The sequence below is a fragment of the Homo sapiens genome, chromosome 14, assembly GCF_000001405.40.
Source record: "Homo sapiens chromosome 14, GRCh38.p14 Primary Assembly".
NCBI lineage: Eukaryota > Metazoa > Chordata > Mammalia > Primates > Hominidae > Homo > Homo sapiens.
This window is the reverse complement of record NC_000014.9, coordinates 65,953,398-65,973,268: the sequence shown is the minus strand read 5'-3', so window position 1 is coordinate 65,973,268 and position 19,871 is coordinate 65,953,398. Positions and strand designations below refer to the sequence as shown.

General features: G+C 43.2%; 2 annotated features.

Annotated features, from left to right (window-relative positions):
• Positions 14,813-15,362: an enhancer, noted in NCBI's record as "OCT4-NANOG-H3K27ac hESC enhancer chr14:66424625-66425174 (GRCh37/hg19 assembly coordinates)". NCBI's record gives its function as "activates a minimal SCP1, AML or CMV promoter by ChIP-STARR-seq in primed H9 embryonic stem cells {active_cell/tissue: H9 hESC(primed)}" and the evidence as "EXISTENCE:reporter gene assay evidence [ECO:0000049][PMID:30033119]".
• Positions 15,363-15,913: an enhancer, noted in NCBI's record as "OCT4-NANOG-H3K27ac hESC enhancer chr14:66424074-66424624 (GRCh37/hg19 assembly coordinates)". NCBI's record gives its function as "activates a minimal SCP1, AML or CMV promoter by ChIP-STARR-seq in primed H9 embryonic stem cells {active_cell/tissue: H9 hESC(primed)}" and the evidence as "EXISTENCE:reporter gene assay evidence [ECO:0000049][PMID:30033119]".

The window sequence follows — 19,871 nt, the reverse complement described above, 5'->3', positions numbered from 1 at the left end:
TCAGCTGCTGTTTCACTGTGATTCTCAGATCGTTTTCTCCCCAGAAATGCCTGTTTTTGTTGTGTGATGCTGAGCTCATTTACATGCGTATGATAACACTGAGAAATAGCAGAGAATGATGACTGTGATGATAATGAAAATGAAAAGGAGATGGTGATGACATAGTGTCGGTAAGAGTGAACAGTGTTCTTGGAATGCACTAATCCCAGAAAGCATATCATTCCATAGGAATGTACTTCAATATGTGTTTCTAAAAGATAAAGACTTTATTTTAATATAAGCACAATATATTTAAAAAATTCTTCAATATCATCAAATTTCCAATCAGTACCCAATTGTCTCATAAATATTTTTCATAGTTGGTTTGTTCAAACCAGGATACAAACTAGATTGATGAGTCTCTTAAATAGTTTTCTCCTCCTTTTCTTCCTTGCAATTTTTTGTTGTTGAAGAAACTATGTCATCTGTCCTATAGAATTTGCCAAGTTTGGATTTTGCTGATTGCATCTCAAGAACATTTAATGTGTGCCTCTGCTCCCTGTAGTTTGTATAAACTAGCAGTTCAATCTAGAGCTTCATCAGATTTGGGTTCAACGTTTTTTGCAACACTGCTTTGTAGGTGAAGTGGGGCATTTCCATCAAGAGGTTCATAATGCCTAATGGCCTCTCTCTGTGAGGTCAGCAGATGCTAATAGTCATCTTCCAGACACAATGCCCCATTGCTTGACCTGGATTACCATAGGAATGCAGATGGTTGCTTTGGAATTATTTGACAACACGAATGTGTATGTCTCATGAGATTTCTTGTGTGTGTTATATCACAGTTTTAAAATGTTTAAAAGAAAGAATATGGGCGTTTTAATAGGCGGCAAGAAGCCCCAAGGGCTATGTGCAGGGCAGTCATATCCAGGAGATAAACCAGAGTGCCTAGCAGATTAAAGGTAGGCCTTAACAGCTAACATCCTAATTCCTAAAACCAAGAGGGCAATTAAACTGCTGGTTCCACTGAGGCAAATGCCCATGGGCCTATGCTTTGGGGTGCTTTCTCCCTGGAGTAGATTATAGTTCTGCATCCCACAAGGACCATTCAGAAGATTCCAAGCAGCCCTAATCAAGAGATCTGTGAAAGAGGCTTCTTTGCCGGTGTTTATACTAAACAAGAGGGTATTCTTAAGTGGCTGTTTCCAGCAGCTAATCAGGTAGGAGTGAGCCTCAGCCAGGGAAGTTTCCACATTTTGATCAATTAATGTGTGGCCCTAGGGAGACTCCCAGACAAGAGAGAGGGAGGGGTCTTGCGGAGTCAACTACCCTCAGTGCCCTTAACTATAAAATGGGAGTAATAATAGTACCTATCTCCTAGTGTTGTTTTGATGATTAAATGGGCCTATGCTTGCAAATGAGCAGGCACACAGTAAGGAACCAATAAATGTTGGCTATTCTTGTTAGGCAGTTCCTGAAACTTGTGACATTTGCTTCTACAGCCACAGAACAGCCAGTCTTGACATAGAGTGTTAAGAAATATCAATTGATGAAGACAGTATTTAAAAATGCCACTTTCTTAGATCTATGAAGGGACTTGGCTATGACATCAACGTGAGTCAAGTGGTTTCTTTCCTTTTCCTTTTTCTAGTAAGGAGATTTTGTGTATTCGGGAAACTGGTGAACTTTCTGAGAGTCGAAGCAGGACATAAATTATGATGATCACACTGATTGCCAGCCTGTTCCTTTGACCCTTAGCCAGAACCCTGTCAATGCCCCATGGGAATTGTAAAGTCATTAGAAACAAAGATATAATTAACATCCAAAACGGGCAGGGAGACAAGTTGTCAAACTTTGTGATCTCCACATGACCCTGAGGCTAAAAAATCACTGAAGAGAAAATTAAAACACAAAAGCCAAATTTGCCTGACTTTGTCTTTTACTTTGGTTTAATGAGGGCCTGGCTTGAAGCTCACTGATGGAGATGGGATGGCATGATGGGCTGAGAGCATCTCTAAAATTAGGTGACTCTTTCAGTTTAGAAGTGATTTCCAAATGAGGAATTTTCCAGGACTCTTAACATTGCTATATAGGCAATGATCCATCCAATAAATATGTATGGAGCATGTAGTATGAGATCCTGAAGAGCCAGTAATAAACAAGACAGACTTGAGCCTGGCCTTAGGGGACTTACATTCTAGTGGTAGAGACAAATAAATGAGCAATTACAACAGGAGGAGAAGTCATGTAACTTAAAGACAGCCCAGTCTAATTAATAATATCCAAAAAGCAGTTCATGGGTCACTAGTCAAGGATTCACAAGAATGGATACCATTTCTGCTCCTAACTGCTGTTGTCTTCCTCTAGTTTCTCATCACTTTGTACCTAGACTCTTAACACATCTCCCTAATAGTAGAGTCCTCTTCCCAGAAGACCACTTTTATTATGTCAGATCCCTGCTCAAAAATATTTGGGGACTTTCCATACTGACAAGGTTATGTGCAAATTCTTTAGGCTGGGTCTTGAAACCTGAGTACAGTTTTACAAGTAGATAAGGGAGGTAGGGTTAGGGGAGTAGATTCATTGCAAATGGTTGGAGCAGGGAGTACGTGGGGAAGGAACAGTACCAAATGAGACAGGTGGAGTCAGTGACCTTCTTTTCCATTCCGTCTTTTCTTGGTGAGCTCTTGGCATCTTCTGAGCTTCTGCACCTGCCCCAAGAGCCTGAAGGGACTAGGGCTACACTAGATGTCCCAGAACTAAGATTGGTTGGTTCCTCCTTCATGTTGATACTCACAGCTCAGACAAATATCAGAATTACACAGAGCCTGCATGTCAGTTGTGAACAATAATGGTGGCCCAGTTAATGAATGTCATGTCAGGACTGAAGGATGATTAAGAAACCAAAGAAAAGAAATTTTAACCAGAGTAGGTTAAATCTGTCCTAAGCAGGAAGTGTAACTCCACAATTCCAATGGCTTTTTAATGTTTTATGTCAAATTCTCCAAACTTAAAATATCAACTGTTGGAACACTTATCACACTGTATTTTAATTACATGTCTCCTTACTACCTCTCATCTACCAGACTGTGGCATCTTCTTCAGGAACCATCTTTTACTCATTTCCTAAACAAAGCACATGGCATAAAGTCTGGCACACAATAGACACTCAATAAATGGTAAGTGAATTCTGTCCCATTGCCTTACAAAGTCATTTCTGAGAAACCTGAGGCCATGGTAATTTGTCTTTTCTCTGAAGTTTCAGGGTACCAATCTGTCCTATTCATATATTTTCTGAAATTGCCTTACAACTTTCAAATGAATTCCAAAAGTTCATTGGAATAGTCTCTGGTCACAGAAAAAAATGTTATAAAGGCTGTCATTGCCTACACTAATCCACAAATCTTATTTTTAAACCATCATATTCGACTCAGCCAACACTTATTAAAAACTTACTATGTGCTGGGTGGTAGAATAGACTCTGGAAATAAAACAGCAATTAGGCCTTGTCTTTAAGAAAACTTAAGATCCAGAACAGATAAATGATGATAGTACAGGATGAGGCACAGAAGAGGAAGTTTTTACCCTGATGGTGGTCACAAAATCTTCCCAAGAAATTGACATCTGATCAAGGTTTTAAAAGATAAATAACTTTTTTTTGTTGTTGTTTTTAGAGACAGGTTCTCACTCTGTCGCTCAGGCTGGAGTGCAATGTTGCAATCATAGCTTACTGCAGCCTCAAACTCCCAGACTCAAATGAACCTCCCACCTCAGCCTTGTGAGTAGCTGGGACTACAGACATTTGCCACCACACCTAACTTTTAAAAATATTTTTGTAGAGACAAGGTCTCACTGTGTTGCCGAGGTTGGTCTCGAACTCCTGGGCTCCTATGAGCCTCCAGCCTCAGCCTCCCAAAGCACTAGGATTACAGGTGTGAGCCACCACACCTGGCCCTTGAAAGATGAATTAGAGTTCAGCCAGGCAGCAAGATTGGAAAGGAAGAAACTCTGGCAGAAGCATGAGAGACAGAGAGGCCTGAGGTGCTGCACAGTCTAGATGGCAGAGAAGGGAAGTGCCTGGGGACCAGTGAGCTGAGTGAAGCTTCTGACCTTAGGTAGAGGGGAGCCACAGCCTCAGGTTCTGCTCTGTGAGCAGACAATCACAGAGAGCCTTTAAGGCACGAAAGAACTTGGACTTTATTCTGTAGGTGTTGGAGGCGCTTTGGGCAGAGAAACACTGAGATGAATCCAGTCCAGCTGCAGACCAGAGGGCATGGGTTGGTGATGCAGCAGCCAAAGGCAGAGTCCAGGCAGAGGGCACTGCATAGCCTTGGTGAGAAATAGTGAACGTCAGAACCAAAGTCATCCAGGCTTTTCTAAGCATTTCTATTTCCCCCAGTTGCCTTTTTCTCCACTTCTGTGCTCTCATATTCTCCAAAAGAATGGGCAGTGGGTCATGGGCTCCAGCAGTGTAAGGAGTGTTTGTGTTGAAGTGTAGACATGGACATTTGCAAGACTGCTATTTATTAGTGGAATTCCCTTGAATGCATCTTATCTTCCACTAACACCACAAACCACTTGAGGGTAAATGTTGCATCTTATAGATCTCTCTACCGCTCTTCCATTCAGCCTCAAGAACAGTGTCCTGCATTGTGTTTAAGCCATTGAAGACTGGTGAATTCAAATGTATTGATTAATCTATACATTTTGCCTAAAATATATACTTGGGGGGCGGCCAGTATCATGTGAACATTTTGTTTACTCCTGATATGTTGTAGACACACAAACACCAATTAAAATCACACAAGTGAACAATTCTAGTCTAAAGATGGCATGGCATTAAATCATAGAGTTTAGCCTAGACTGGGTGCTGATCCTCACCTCGGTCCTGATTCAATTCCACTGCACAGCCATGGGTTCAGTTAATTTCCTCAAGATTCAGATAAGGCTCTGGCTCTTCTCTACCTAAGTAGCAGCTCCTGTGAACCCTCAGCATAAGAAACAAGTGATGGGCACGTTATGATTAATAACTCATGGCTGACAATCACATGGTTTTTTTCCTTTTTTGAAATTCAGTTGAGAAGTTCCCAATATATTATCCAGGATTTACAATCACCAGAAATTTCCAAAATAGCAAATCAAATTGAAATTCATTGACTCTCTATGAGAATTTAGGAGCACTTTGAGGTCCTCCAGGGCCCCCAATAAGAGCCCAGTTTTCATTGTTCTGTGGGTGGGTGGGTACGGCAAACCTGCACTCCCTGCAGAATCTTGCAATTGAAAGCTCTATGAACCGGGGATTCACTGGGTGTTGGACAGAACTGGTAAAGAAAGTTATCTTGCATTTGACCCACATTTATTGGGTGGCAATGTGTTTTAGGCACCAAAAGGCAAACCAAAGAAATAATAAAAAGAATGTTGCCTGAGTCAATCAGACCTGGGTTGACTATGCAGCCAAGTGTTAAGTTGCTTAACCTTTTTGAGCCTCAGTTACTTATCTGCAAAATTTGGACAATAAAATTCTTCTCTGGGTAGTGATTAGAATCATGAATCATGATATGTAAATGGCCTTGCATAGCACCAGTATCATAGGTGTTCATATAAACTGAGATCTCCTCTCCTTCCTTGTAAGGATCTTAAAATCCACAAGTGAATACAAATATCAAATAACTAGAGAATTACCTAAAAGCAGAGTAAAATGTTGCATTAATTTACAGCAAACTGCGCTCAGCATCAAACAAGAGAGCCTGCAGCTGTCTAGAGAGAAACAGCTCAGACATTCAAGGTAATTTTGCAAAAATCCACTCTAAACAAGCGTTGACATAAACTCATCTTTAGCTGAGCTGTAGCTTTGTGGCACTTTAAAAAATCTGTAATATTAAAAGTAAATTAAACAGTGCATATGACTAGGCATTGAAGGTGTTTAGGGAGTAATTTCACAGTTGACGACTCAAGCCTTCCTGTCTGATGAAAATTCACATTTTCCCATGGGTGGAGGAGCAGAGTTGCAGGAATTGGAAAGGAGGAGACAAAGACACAGGAAGTGTGACCTTGTTTGGGAAGGTGAGAATGTGGGCTGGGGGCTTTGACACATGCCTTCCTTTGAAGATCCCTACATGAGGATGGATGTCATTTTCTGAGCCTTCATTCAGCCAAGTGAACGGATACTCTTGACTACAGAATCTGGGTCAGGAAATGTGGGCTAGCCTCCTAGTTTCTCTGCAATCCTGCAGGGTAACTCATCTTGAGGTGCAGGTGGTCGTGGGGCTTCCCAGGATGCGAGGGACCTCCCTCTTATCCTCCCACCCCACCGCCATGTTGCTATCCTCTTCACCACCACCACCCCCTCCCGCCCCTGTTCCCATCACCTCCCCTCTTGTGTCCTTGGGGTCATTACTGTACATGTGGTAGGCTTTGGAGTGAATGTCAGAAGATGGAGCTTCTGTTTCTCCAAAGAGAGATGAACAATGAGCTACCTCTCCAGCCGCAGGGAGGGATTCAGGTCTGGCCGAGCTTTCCACATGCTCTTGTCTGTCCATCCATAGGATAGGACTTGGCAGAAACAGAGTCCAGGGCTCTTCTGTGTTATCAGTGAGAGGCTGGCCAGTGGATGTGGTTCTCGTCTAAGGGACAGAGTTGAGTCAGGCTGTGTGTCAGCCATCCTGAGGAGAGAGCCAGAAACCCAAAGTCAAGGTGGAGTGGATCAGAAACCAAATGGGACCGGCACAGAGCCAGTGGAGGACAGAATAAAACCACAGTTGGTGATGAGAAGGGAGCCAAGTCACAGCAGACGGGAGTCATCAGCCTAGAGCAACTTTGATAAATCTCACCAAGTTGCTGTTGACCCAACTGCAAGGGCTGTCACTCTACTGCCATGCCTGCAGGAGGCAGGCCAAGGCAACACAGGCAGTCTGTGTCTGTGGTCAGAGCAAACCCACCTGGCCACAGGGACAAGCTTAACAGTCTTTCAGTGCTTAGGACCTGAGAATTCACAAAGCATTTGACATCCACTATGACACTCAAGCCTTGTGAAAACCCACTGTTCCTACCCATTTTGTAGCTGCAGGATAATAAAGATAAGAGACTTGCCTGAAGCCACTCAGCTCTTACGTTGTGGAGCCTGGTCTTGTCCTACCCCGTCCTGTATATCCCATATTGGATCTATGAGCTTGGTTGTATCCATACAATGGTTGTATCCATTCAATCTAGCTTCAGTGGAAAGCTGGAACTATTCATTACCCTTGGTTCACAGGCTGAATGAGAGTCTTGCTGGGTAATGATCAAATGATTAGCTATTACCCTATTTCTGATCTCACCTGTCCCACCCAGATCTGGGAGGCCACAGTGTCTCTGAGGATAGGGGATAGCCCATTCTGGCCACTCATCCTCCACCTGTGCCATGACCTAACTGCAGGTGGTGACCCTCATCCTTCCTCCACATATATCTGAACCTCATTTTATTTTCCCCATTTGACTGTGCTTTAACATAGCTGTTCATTTCCTGCTTAATAACACTTGGCTCTGAGAGGAATCGTGGCACGAGTTTTAACAGCTCTCCTATTATTGGATAATCACCTGTATGAAATCTCAACAAATCTAGGTAGCAATCAATCTGTAGTTAATTAATATAAAGCATCCAGTCCCATTAAATCCAAATGTTGCAACTGACACTGTTGGTTGACTAAATATTGGTGCCATTTATAAGTACATGCTTCTTGGGATCATCCTGGACTTAAAAATATTTTTCATTAACTAGCTGGTATTTAACAGAAATTAATTCTTGGCCATGCAGCATCAATTCCATCTTACAGAATTAAGACCCAGGGCTGCCTTGGAGCAGCTGTGTGCATAGAGGAACTTTCTGGGTAGTTCTCTGAGACACATCATGTTCTCACCTTATTCCCTGATTGATACCTCACTTCTACATCTCCCTACCCTGCATGGTAGTGAGGCTTCTTGTAATCAGGCTGCAACTTTGCAAATTCTTCTTTAATTTGTGTCTTTGGGCTTGGCTCACATTCCAAAACATTTTATTACTTGTTAATATCACAGTGGGCATGGAGACTCACAGAATAAGAGAACTGGAATCAAGACAGAAGAGTGGGAGTAAAGCACTGGTGTAACTCTGAATGAGGCATCCCTGAGTTCATCTTGCAGTGTCAGGACCTTCATTTAAAGAACAGCAATAAAAACATGTGCCACCAACCTGCCCCATCTGTACTAGTCAGGATTCCTTTATGTGACAGAAGTGACAGAAACCCACTCAAAAAAAAAAATAATAGAAGCAAATAAATGACATTTATTGCCTCCTATCAGTGAGTCAAAGGAATTCAGGCATGATTGGACCCATGGATTCAAACAATATCTTTAGGACTTTCTTGCTACATCTCTTTGTCAATTTCCTTGGGCTGCTATAACAAAAACCTAAACTTGGGATGGTTTAAAACAATAGAAATGTTTGCACAACAATGTGATTGTGCTGAATGCCACTGAACTGTACATATGAAAGAGTCCAAATGGTAAATTTTGTGTTATGTATGTTTTATAGTAATTTTAAACATAGAAACAACAACAAAACCCAGACATTTATTCTCACAATTCTGGAGGCTAGAAGCCTAAAATCAACGTGTCAGTAGAGCCACACTCTCTCTGGAGGCTCCAGGGGAGGATCCTTCCCAGCCTCTTCCTAGATTCAGGCTGTTGCCAGCATTCCTTGGCTTCCCCTGGCTTGTAGAGGCATTGCTCCAACTTCTGCTGCCATTGTCACATGGCAAGCTCCTTCTATGTGTGTCTTTGTACCTCTTTTTTTTCTCTTTCATTGGATTAGGACCCACTGTGGTCCAATATGACCTCATCTTAACTAACTGCATCTGCAGCACCTCTATTTCCAAATAAGTTTTTGTTCCGAGGTTCCAGGTGGACATGGATGTGTGTGTGTGTGTGTGTGTGTGTGTGTGTGTGTGTGACCATTCAACCAGGTACAATCTCTTAGCTTCCTTTGCTTGTTCAGCTTTTTTTCATTCAGCTTCCTGTAAGCAGCAGCAATATAACTTCAAGAAACCCTAGCAATTTCCCAGAAAAGAGGTGAAAGCCCCTCCCCAAACAACTGGATTCTGAGTAGGCTGTGCTTGGATCAAACCACCCCTGGACCAATCACCCATCCCATCCGAGCCTGCAGAGTCAGGCCATGTCTGGGGCAGGGACGGCAGAGCAAGGTGACTGACACACATCTTTCCAGAATTCCATGGAGATACTGAACAGACACAGAGAGCAGGTATCTCCACAACATTTCTCTAGCTTTCCATAAATGTAACTACGTTTCTATTATTAAAGAAAAGAACCTGTACTTTTTAAAGTGCTATTTCCACCTACAGAAACTTGATCATCCAAACATGATGGCTTTGATTTTGAAGACGTTAAATTAGGAGTTCCTTCGGGCTAGGTATTAATCATATATATAAAATGTATACATTGGAAGAAAGTGGATTCAAATAGGGTTTATAGGAAGACTATATTTAAGAATCCCAACTCCTTTTTATTCACATATTTAAGTCAGAAATGTAGGGGACAAGACCCTTAGATAACACAAAAATGTGATATGTGTCATTCAGGTGTATTTAGAACTATGGGATATTCTGAGTAATTTGTTAAAGGAACACCTAAAGTGGATTTCAAAGTCCACCCCGCTCCCACCACCGACCCTGGCTGAATTTCATTTTGTAGCTCTTTTCTGTTCTCATTAAGGTGTCATGTTTGCCAATGGAAGTGCCACCTTCAAACCCAGACTTGCAGAATGAACTCTCAGTCATACAGATTATTGGGTCTGTCCAACATCTTTGCCTTTCTCTCTTATTTCTGACATATAAATAGCGCAAGAACTATTATTCCCCTTTCCCTGAAGGGCAAGGTCAAAGACTTCTTTGAAAAGATTCTGACATCCTGGGTGGGGAAACAAAATAGATTTCATCCTCTCCAGGGTATGATATTTGGGGCAGAGACTAGCAATGTTCTCCGTCAACTTGCACCTTAAATGGCTTTTCTAAATGCTTGCTTATCGCAGCAAGAAGATTTACTAGACAGACATGCCTGCTGTTATTTCATTAATTTGCTTAGTCAGCAAATGGGTATGCCGGCCCATCAGTAACATTCAGCAGAATTTGAGCTTCCTCTGTGGGGCTGCATTTGCCTGGCCCTACTTATGCATCAGTTAACAACCTGCTTTTCCAGAACTCTGACAGTGTGAATGATGGTTTAGACTTAAGCACCACACAAACACTTAGAGAAGTTTATCCCTGCCTCTGCCTGACCTCACATCATAGGAAAAAGGGCTACAAAATAGCCCTTTCTTGCCTCATCTGAGTTGGCAGCAGTTTTGATGGGTCCCAAACTAATTTAGTTGCAAGATCCTCAGCAGTAACTAAGCACCCAGCAGGCACATTCCATTCATCAGTCACCAACCCAGATGGTGTCAAAAGTGTGGTGCCTGAGACACCTGGAGAGACGGAACAGCCTCATGAATTGGAGACGGAAATCTGAAAGCAAGAGAAGGGTAAAAGGAGGCTGAGGGATCAGAGAAGAAAGAAATAATAAATAATAAAAATAATTAATATGGCCAAAGGAGGGAGGGAAGGATCAAGAGCCTCTGGCAATGCAGGTAACCTAGTGACCAACTCGTCCCGGTTTGCCCGAGACTTTCCCAGTTTTGAAACTGGAAGTCCCATGTCCTGGGAACCGTCCTTAGTCCTGGGCAAACCAGAATGGTTGATCACCATAGGTAGTCCAAGGTGGGCTTTAATAATGCAGGGCAGGTGGGGAAGAACCTGAAGAGCAATCTGACATCACGTTGGGGCCAGTTACATTTAAAATTTGAAAACGCCTCTTTTGACTCTGCCACCCTTGTCCCGGGAAGCAGATCCCACAGCATGCCACAGATGCAGCCCAAGCTGCTCAGCTTTGAAGGCTGTCACTTACGGTGTCACTCTTCATACTTCTCTGAAGTGCCATTAAAGGGAACATTTTGTTCTCACACATCAAGCTCCCAGCATACACCAAAGGTTGACCAATATGTATCTCTGACTGGCTGGACTAGTATTTTTTTTACATGCATTTCTTCCTAGTTGTTTATTCTTGGATTATATAGAAATCTAGTTGACAAACTGGTGCCCCTAAGTGAACGAGGCCACGAGGCTAACACTAAAAGCAAATCACAAAATTACAGTAGGAGTCTGAACCAGAAATCTCACCCTAGAGTCAACATGGGCTCGCCTGCAAGGGAGTGCGTGGCCTTCAAAGTTTCTCAGGCACAGACACTCACTGTCCCAGGAGGTTGTCCTGCTCGTCCCACAGCACAGATCTGGCTTTAGCACTTTTCTGTTCATCACTCTTGTCTGTCTTGAGCCTCAGACTGCCCTGCTGCTGGTCTTGGCATTGCCCTCACTGGAGTGGACATCTCATTATATACGTGCCTTCCATTCTCTCTGCTGCCATGCTTCGGGACCTCGCCCACTCCTCCCTGCTCACTGGTCCTTGGCCTTGGCTTTCTGGCTAGGCATTGGCAGCCTACCTTGCCTCCAGCAGGACTCAGCCCAGATTATACAAAGGGTGTCTATTTTTCCAGGAATTCTCCAGTGCTTGGTTTCCCCATGTTGCTTGCTACCCATCTTGCAAAAGTGGAATAGACCATTTAATTAAGATGCTGTTTCAGGAGCAGAAGGCAACACCTAGGCCCTAGGTTTTCTACAATGCCCATTTCTCAATAGCGAATAGCTTCACACAAACATTAACTTACTTTTAAAAATATTTATTAAGAAATTAGCACATGCCAGGCTCTAATGCAGGCATTTAGAACACAGCAGAGGACAAGACAGGCAAGAGTGCAGTGGCCTTTGCCAGCGGAGCTTGTGTCCTGGAGAGGCAGAGAGAGATGATAAGAGTATAAAAACTGACCAATAACACTTCGGAAAGTAATAAGCACTATGAAGACAACGAAAAGAAGGTGCAGCCTTCCTACAGAGGGTGCTTTCCCCTTATGGACCTTCCCACCCAGAGTGTAGTCTGACAACTCCTCCAAGAGCTCTGCACTGCCTCCTGCTGGCCGAGGTCAGCAGAACATGCTGTACTGTCCCGGGGTTGCTTCCATCTCTCCATGAGTCACTGTTTCGTTTTTTGCCTCTATCCCTCCCTCTCTTGCCATTTGTGAAACACACAGTCTTAGTACTTTTCAAGGAGATGGGGGCTTTAGGAACTGAACTTCTCTTGGTAAAGTCCCTTCTTGAGACGTTCTCTGTCAAAACAGAAAATGTTTTCTGCAAGACTATGCAGCTTGGCAGTTATGAGCATGGGCTTTGGCATCAGCCAACCTGAGCTCTTTTCCTTCACCCCCATCTGTCTTGCTAACTGGTATTGGTCCTTCAAAGCATGGTGCAAGTGTCTCCCCCTGAGAAAGCATTTCCTGGTCCCCTGCAATATGGGTACCCAGCAGTGTCAGCTTATAAATGCCACATGGGCATGGTCAAGTCTTATTAATTTGATACCGAGTCACAGCATCTGAGGCATCGATGGGATACAATAAACATTACTGAGTGCATGCATGAATAAATGAATAAGTCTGGAGCTCAGGAGGCCAGCCTGGATCTGATAAACTTGGTCCCCTAGCTAACCGCATAACCCAGGTGTCTACAATGAAAGGCACAGTAAACTTGTTTTCCCTCAAATCACATTATGCACAAAGAAAAAGTTGGGAAGGCATCTCTTGGGTGGTTCAGACTGGCTCTCCCCAAAGCAAGACACACAACTGTTTTTGTCAAAGCCACACAACGACCTCCTCAGTGGACTTCTTTGAAGCATCTATTGATCTTTAAAAAAAGTATAATTTAACAAAAGTGCTTCTTCCAGCTTGTCTTGTTCCCGGAATTCCCTCTATGTATTTCCAGCTGTAATGTGAAATTCAACTGTGTGTCAGCCCTGATGATGGTGAACTCCCTAGCTCAGACACTGGCTTGTTTGGGGAAAGCTGTTTTCACAGCTTTCCCTGGACAAGGTGCTAATCTCTGACAGATTGGAATGAAAAGTTATCCCAGCAGCTCAGACCACCCCCTGGCTGTGCTGGAGTGAAGGCATCAGTGAACGTTAACTCCTAGGAGCCATCTTTGGCATCTCCTATGGTCTCTGCCTGCTGAGCAGAGAGGGGGCTTCAAAGTTGTTTAAGGAATGATGGAAATGTTATAGAGCCACTCTGTTGCTATGTTGCGGATAGTAAGCGATGAGCACAAATCCCTGATATTGAAGGATGGATCACGATACCCTTCTAGAAACTTCCTTCCCCTCTATTATCTTGGCCTGGCAACACTAAGGGAAGGTCATCACCAGGGTTCCAGTTTGCTGAAGTGTAACTTCTCTGCTAATTTTCTACTGAACCCTCATTGTGGTTGATAGCAGATGGCTCTAATATGACAGAGCACTTGACTTGCCGGACAGCTGGGGCAAGTCAATGATTATAAGAGTCTCCATTGCCAATGGAGCCCACAGGAAATAGTGTGTGAACATGCTTTGGAAACTGTAAAGCACTGTACAAATATGAGAAGTTATTATTATGGACCACCCATAAACTACTAATTTTGAACAGAACTGTGCTGAATATCATTTAATATCCTTTTAATGTCTCAGAAAACATTTTAAAACCTCCCAATGCTTTGGTGGTATAATTCTGAACTTCCCTTGTTACAGCAGACAGAGTTCGCAAGCTCCTAAACTTAGACGACTTCGGTGCTGTTTTAAGGGGAGCAGGACAGTTTAAAGATGATAATGGTATATATCTCACCACAAGATGGCACTATTGATGACATTTCTTTGCCTTGATTAAAACGGACCTGACATTTGAGGGGTCCAGGTCAAGAGGGAAAAAGAAGGCCTAAATACCACATGTTTAATTATTTAAAAGTTAAGTCAATCTAACACACAAAGTAAATAAAATATGTTTCCTATCTGGAAAAATATATCTTCCTAATGAATTGGAAAGCGAGGTACAAATTGCAAAAGCTGAGGCTCAGGTTGCAGGCAGAACAGGATGGCTGAGGGAGGGTCAGCATCCAGCACCCTCGTCAGCCCATCGTGCACTGTGAGGGCCTTGCACGCATGCCTCTGAACCCCATCCACATCCCTGTGCCCCTCAGCCTTGGGCCATCCTCAGAGGCCAGACCAGGGGAAAGGCCCCTGCATGATCTGGAAGTATGCTCAGGATTGCTTGCGCGGGGACTTGTGAGGGGAAGTCATCTAGAACAAGATCAGCTGACTTTTCTATAAAGGGTCAGATGGTAACTATTTTAGGCTTTGTGAGCAATGCAGTCTCTGTCACCCCTATTCAACTTTGCCACCGTATCACGAAAGCAGCCATAGACAATACATAAAATGAACGGGTGTGGGTGTGTTCCAATAAAACTTCAGGTACAAACATAGGTGGATTCAGACCACAGGCCATGGTTTGTAGGCAAGTAGTCTAAAAGCTGGGGCTAAGGCTGCCAAATAAAATACAGGGCACAGAGTTAAACTTGAATTCCAGATAAACTGAATACTTGTATAAGTAGGTCCCCAATATTGCATGGGGCATACTTATACTAAGAAAAAAATGGTTTATCTGAAATTCAAATTTAACTGTGCATCATGTATTTTTATTTGCTAAATCTGCCCATGCTAGCTGGGGTGGGAGCAGAGGGTGGGACTGTCCCATTGACCCTGGGCACTCCTTACCCATGGGGAGGGCCACACGCTGAGGGAGGCCAGAGCGGGGCCTCTAAAGCACAGGCCGTAGGTCAGGGCTACGCTGCCCCAGGCCTGAGGACAGTTGTGGTTTTAAAATGACAATTACGTGCTCTCAAATAATAAATAGAATATTATGTTTCCAATTTATATAGTTGATTTTCTGGAGTCTGGGCATTTATATAGTCAACAAATATTTGTCAAGTTCCTGTATGTGCTAGGTACTGAAGGATACACAATGGTGCCAGACAAAAAGGGAAAAAAGGCATAATCCCTGTCTTCATGGGGCTTATGCAGGGGAGGCAGACATCACACCAATGTGCAAATTCACACAGAAATAATCATTACAAAGCAGAGGGGCCATGAAGAAAAGAAGAGTAACAGTGGAGACAAATTAATCGGGGAGCAAGGAGGAACCCTGAGAAGTGAGGTTTGAGCTGAGACGCAAAGGAGCACTAGGAGTTGCTGGGTGAAGCAGAGAGGAGAGGAACCTCCTGAGGGAAGACCCTGAGCTGGGGCAGGAGAGGGGCCAGCGGTGAGTAGGAGGGGGCTCGGCCAGGCCTGTGAGCAGCTCCCATTCATTTCAAATGCAGCAGGAAACTCCCACAGGGTTTTTTAAAGGGAGGGAATATGATCCAATTCTCATTTGAAAAGCTCACACTTGCTGATTCTTCCTGCAGAGCGGATGTGGCAAGAGGAAGAGGAAGAGAGAGGAGACTTCGGAAGGAGTGGAGTCATTCTGGGAAGAGGGAATGTTGAGAAGGGCACAGCTTTGAGAAGCCTGTGCAAGGGCTAGGGGATGGGGCAGGGACAAGAGATAGGGGTGTGCTGACGGCAGCTCCTGGGTTTCTGGCTGTGCTGAGCAGAGAAAATATGAAGGAGACGCAGGCTTGGGAGAAGATGGACACTTCAGTTGTTGATGTGTTAAGTGGGAGGTGCTGTTTATACCACTGAATGGACTTCTCAAGGGAGCAAGTAGGTAAACAGTTGGCCCTCCGTATCCACAGGTTCCATATCTATGAATTCAGCCAACCTCAGATCACACAAATAAAAAACAATACAATGAAACAACTATTTATATAGTAGCATTTACATTGTATTAAGTATTGTAGGTAATCTAGAGATGATTTAAAGTATATGGGAGGATGTATACAGCTTGTATGCAAATACCATCGAGGGAAGAGAGAGACCCTCTCATATTGTTTTATATTGTTTTATACTCAGTACCTGTTCTAAAAAAAAAAAAAAACAAGGAAGTGAAATCAAAGACAGGCAGCCCGGCACCAGGCTCAAAACCAGGCCTGGGCCTGCCTGGCCTAAACCTAGTAGTTAAGAATCAACTCATGACTTAGAACCCAATGTTACCCATAGATTTCAGGCATTGTATGGAAGAACATTGTGAAACTCCCTGCTCTGTTCTCTTTCACTCTGACCACCAGTGCATGCAGCCCGTCACGTACCCCCTGCTTGCTCAAATCAATCACGACCCTTTCATGTGAAATCCTTAGAGTTGTGAGCCCTTAAAAGGGACAGGAATTACTCACTCGGGGAGCTCGGATTTTGAGACAGTAGCTTGCAGATGCTCCCAGCTGAATAAAGCCCTTCCTTCTACAACTCGGTGTCTGAGAGGTTTTGTCTGCGGCTCGTCCTGCTACACTGTGCCATTTTGTATAGGGGACTTGGGCATCCACAGATTTTAGTACTCATGAGAGTCCTGGAACTAGGAGATATGACTGTACTTGTCATATCTGCAGCTCAGAAGAGAGGCCAGGGCTACAAATGGAAGGGAGCAGGTAGTCAAAGTCCTATGGGAGGCATTTGCAGCCATGAGAGTAGCTGGGACCTTCCTGGTGAAAAGAGAAAGGGGTCTGAGGTGGACCCCTGAGGCACTTCAATGTTAGAAGAAGAGGAGGCAGCAAAGACGGAAAACAAGCAAGAGCCAGTGCTGTGCAAGCCAAAAGATGGGAAGGCGTTAAAAAGTTCTATTTCTGACAATTACCAAATACATCCTTTTTCCTTGAGAGCTTGGAAGTCCCCTCCTCGTCATAGCCTCTCTTACCTTATCTTATTGCTATATATATGATGATAGAAAGATAAAGCAGATGAGCGAAAGATAAAGCAGATGAGCGAAAGATAAAAACACATCCATCAACAGCCATTACAGTCACTCTCATTAGTATTTACACACTCATTGTTAAAGGAGTAAGTAAAAAGATGAATGGGTGACTTTTGAAGAAGTGAAGGATGATCTTCATTCCCGACTTCTTGGTTAGGAAATAGATTTTGAATCTTCTTTAAAGAATTTTCCTTAACAGAATGGCAGCCAGTAAAGGTAGAGGCTCCTTGAACAAATCTAACGTGCGTTGGCATTTCCCAGCCTAGGAGGGCTGCCCTCTCATGGAACCTCAGTCAAGCACACTGGGCTCAGGAGCCTGGAAGAGTCAGTCTCATGCTCAACTCACTGGGATGATGGTTGCTGTTCTGACTTCCTACGGGGAACTCATGGAGCTCCTGTGACTCAGATTAGTGACATTTCTTAGTTCCCAGTAAATAACCTTATGTTTTGACCTGTACCAATGTGAAATGTTAACAAAGCCATGAGGAAATTAAAATCCCTTGATGTAGGTTGGAGGCTGCCTAAGTGGATCCTGTCCAGGTGACAAAAGGTCTGCTAGATCCTGGGAAGAAACAAAGAAAGAAAAAGGTCACCGAGTAAATAGCTATGTGGTGAAATGCCAAAGTACAAGAGTTTATTGAGACCAAAGAGGTGCCTTTTACATGAAAGAATTCCCAGCAAAAGGTCACTAACAGGTCCAAACACCAACTAATACAGGTAAAATGGAAGTTGATGGTTAAAAGAAGACCTGGGGCTCTGATTGCTGTATTGGAATGAAATCTGGTGAGCAGCAGTACTTTGGTTTTATTATTTTTCTGTGGAACTTTAGTTTTCAAAATGTTTTTCCATATATAACCACCTTATTTTTTCAGAAACCTGACAACTGGTCATAGCAGGGATTAGGATTTACATTTGGCAGATGAGCAGGAGAAAGGCTCAGAGAAGTTAAGCAATTTGCCTAAGGTCACAGAGCAACCTGGTCAGGTGGTTGTCAGAACCCAGGTCATTGATCAACCAGTTCATTGATCGTTCTAGCACAATATCTTTCAGAACAATATCAGATCACAAAATGAGATCAACACAAGGCCTCAGTGATTCCACAAAGAATTTTCTGCCCAGCCATTAGCCAGTTTCTATGGCTGATACATGTCAGTGTCTAACAACACCAGGGGTCTGTATAAATAGAAGCCATCAGTGAAGACACAGCAATAGAATTCCAAAAGAGGCATCACATGGAAAGCTCATGTTTTCCAAGCCAAACAAAGTACTAGCTATTACTGGAAGCCATGAAGTAAGGCAACATTAATATCAATTTGTTGCTACTTACTGTTGCTGTCCACTCCTAAGAAAGGAGGACACAGCCAGACTGCTCCGCAGAGTGGCTCCCTGCTGGGATCTGTGGAGCTCGACACAGTCAATAATACCTCATCTCTCTCAAGTCATTTGACCACCTCTCTTGGTTCCTTCTATGAAAACCTGCAGAATAGTTAACCACTGACCTTCCAGAAATGCAATCTGACTCCTGCCCCCATCTGGCCAAGCGTTGGTGTGGATAGGATGGGAGCAAGAGAAGAGGCTGAGATGCAGCTAAGAATTCTAGCCAGCACAGGGACATAAGATTCCAAAATCCTCAAGGGCAAGGATCAAGCTTGAGGGCAGACTGAGTTTTGGGCTTCACTCCTCTTGGTATCTCAATTACCAAATATGGCCATGCAAGTAGCACTCAGTTACAGCTTGCTAAATTGAATTACCCTAAAAGGATGTGAGATGGACAAAGTGGAGAAGATGATTACTCAAAAAAACATGGCTTCCCCTACAAATCAATAAGAAGAAGGCAACCCATAGAAAAACAAGCAAAATATCTGAAGAGGCACCTCACAAAAACAATATCCAAATGGACAATAAGCATATCAATAGGTGCTCAAATTTGGTAGTGTCAGGGAAGTGCTAATTAAAACCACCTGAGTTACCATCTCATACCTTTGGAATGGCTAAAATAGAGGACACTAATTCACACTCTAGAAGCGGGTACAATTCATACATGTCAGAAAACCATTTGACAGCCCCTACTGCAGCTGAATATATACATATCCCATCACTCAATAGTGCTATACCTGGGTACATACCCACCGTAAATGCACACATGTGTTCACCCCAAAAGGCATGAACTGGAATGCTGAGAACACCATTATTTAGAACAGCCCCAAAATGGAAACTGCCCAAATGTCTATTAATAGTAAGCTAAATAAGTAATGGCACATTCACAAAATTAAATATTATACAGCAATGAAAATGAACAAACTACCTCTACATAGGTGAATCTTACCAATGTAATGTTGAACAAAAGAAGTTGAAAGGGGACATACTATATAACTACACTTACAGGAAGTTCAAAAGTGGGCAAACCTACGCTAGGGTGTTAGAAGTTAATATCATCACCCTTAAGGGATAATGACTATGAGGAGGATTCTTGAGGTGCCTATCATGTCTTGTTTCTTGATCTGGGTGCTGGTTACATGAATGTGTTCAGTTTATAAACATTATTTCAGCTGTACATTTGTGATTTGTGCATATTTCTGAATCCATTTTAAACTTCCAAAACAGCTTTTTAAAATCTATTTTATTATATTTAGAGATTGGTTCTCGTTCTGTCACCCAGGCTGGAGTGCAATGGCACATTCATAGCTCACTGCAACCCCAAACTCCTGGGCTAGAGCAGTCTTCCAACCTCTGTCTCCTAAGTAGCTGGGACTACAAGCACAATGATCACAAAATGTGGTCATTTTAAAATCACGTTTTGTTTTTCCAGAGGAGTTTGGTCTTTATTCCTTAAGCAAACAGTGATTTATCTCCTCCTTTCTGGGCATCAACAACCAGCTCAAAAACCCTTTTTAAGGGAAAAAAATAATTTACCAGCATTTCTAATTCCACCGCTGCTGTTATCCAACCAGGTGCAGCCTGGGAAGTGAAGAAGAAAAGGAAAATTTCTTCTCCCCTTCATTACCTCCCACTGCACATCCTT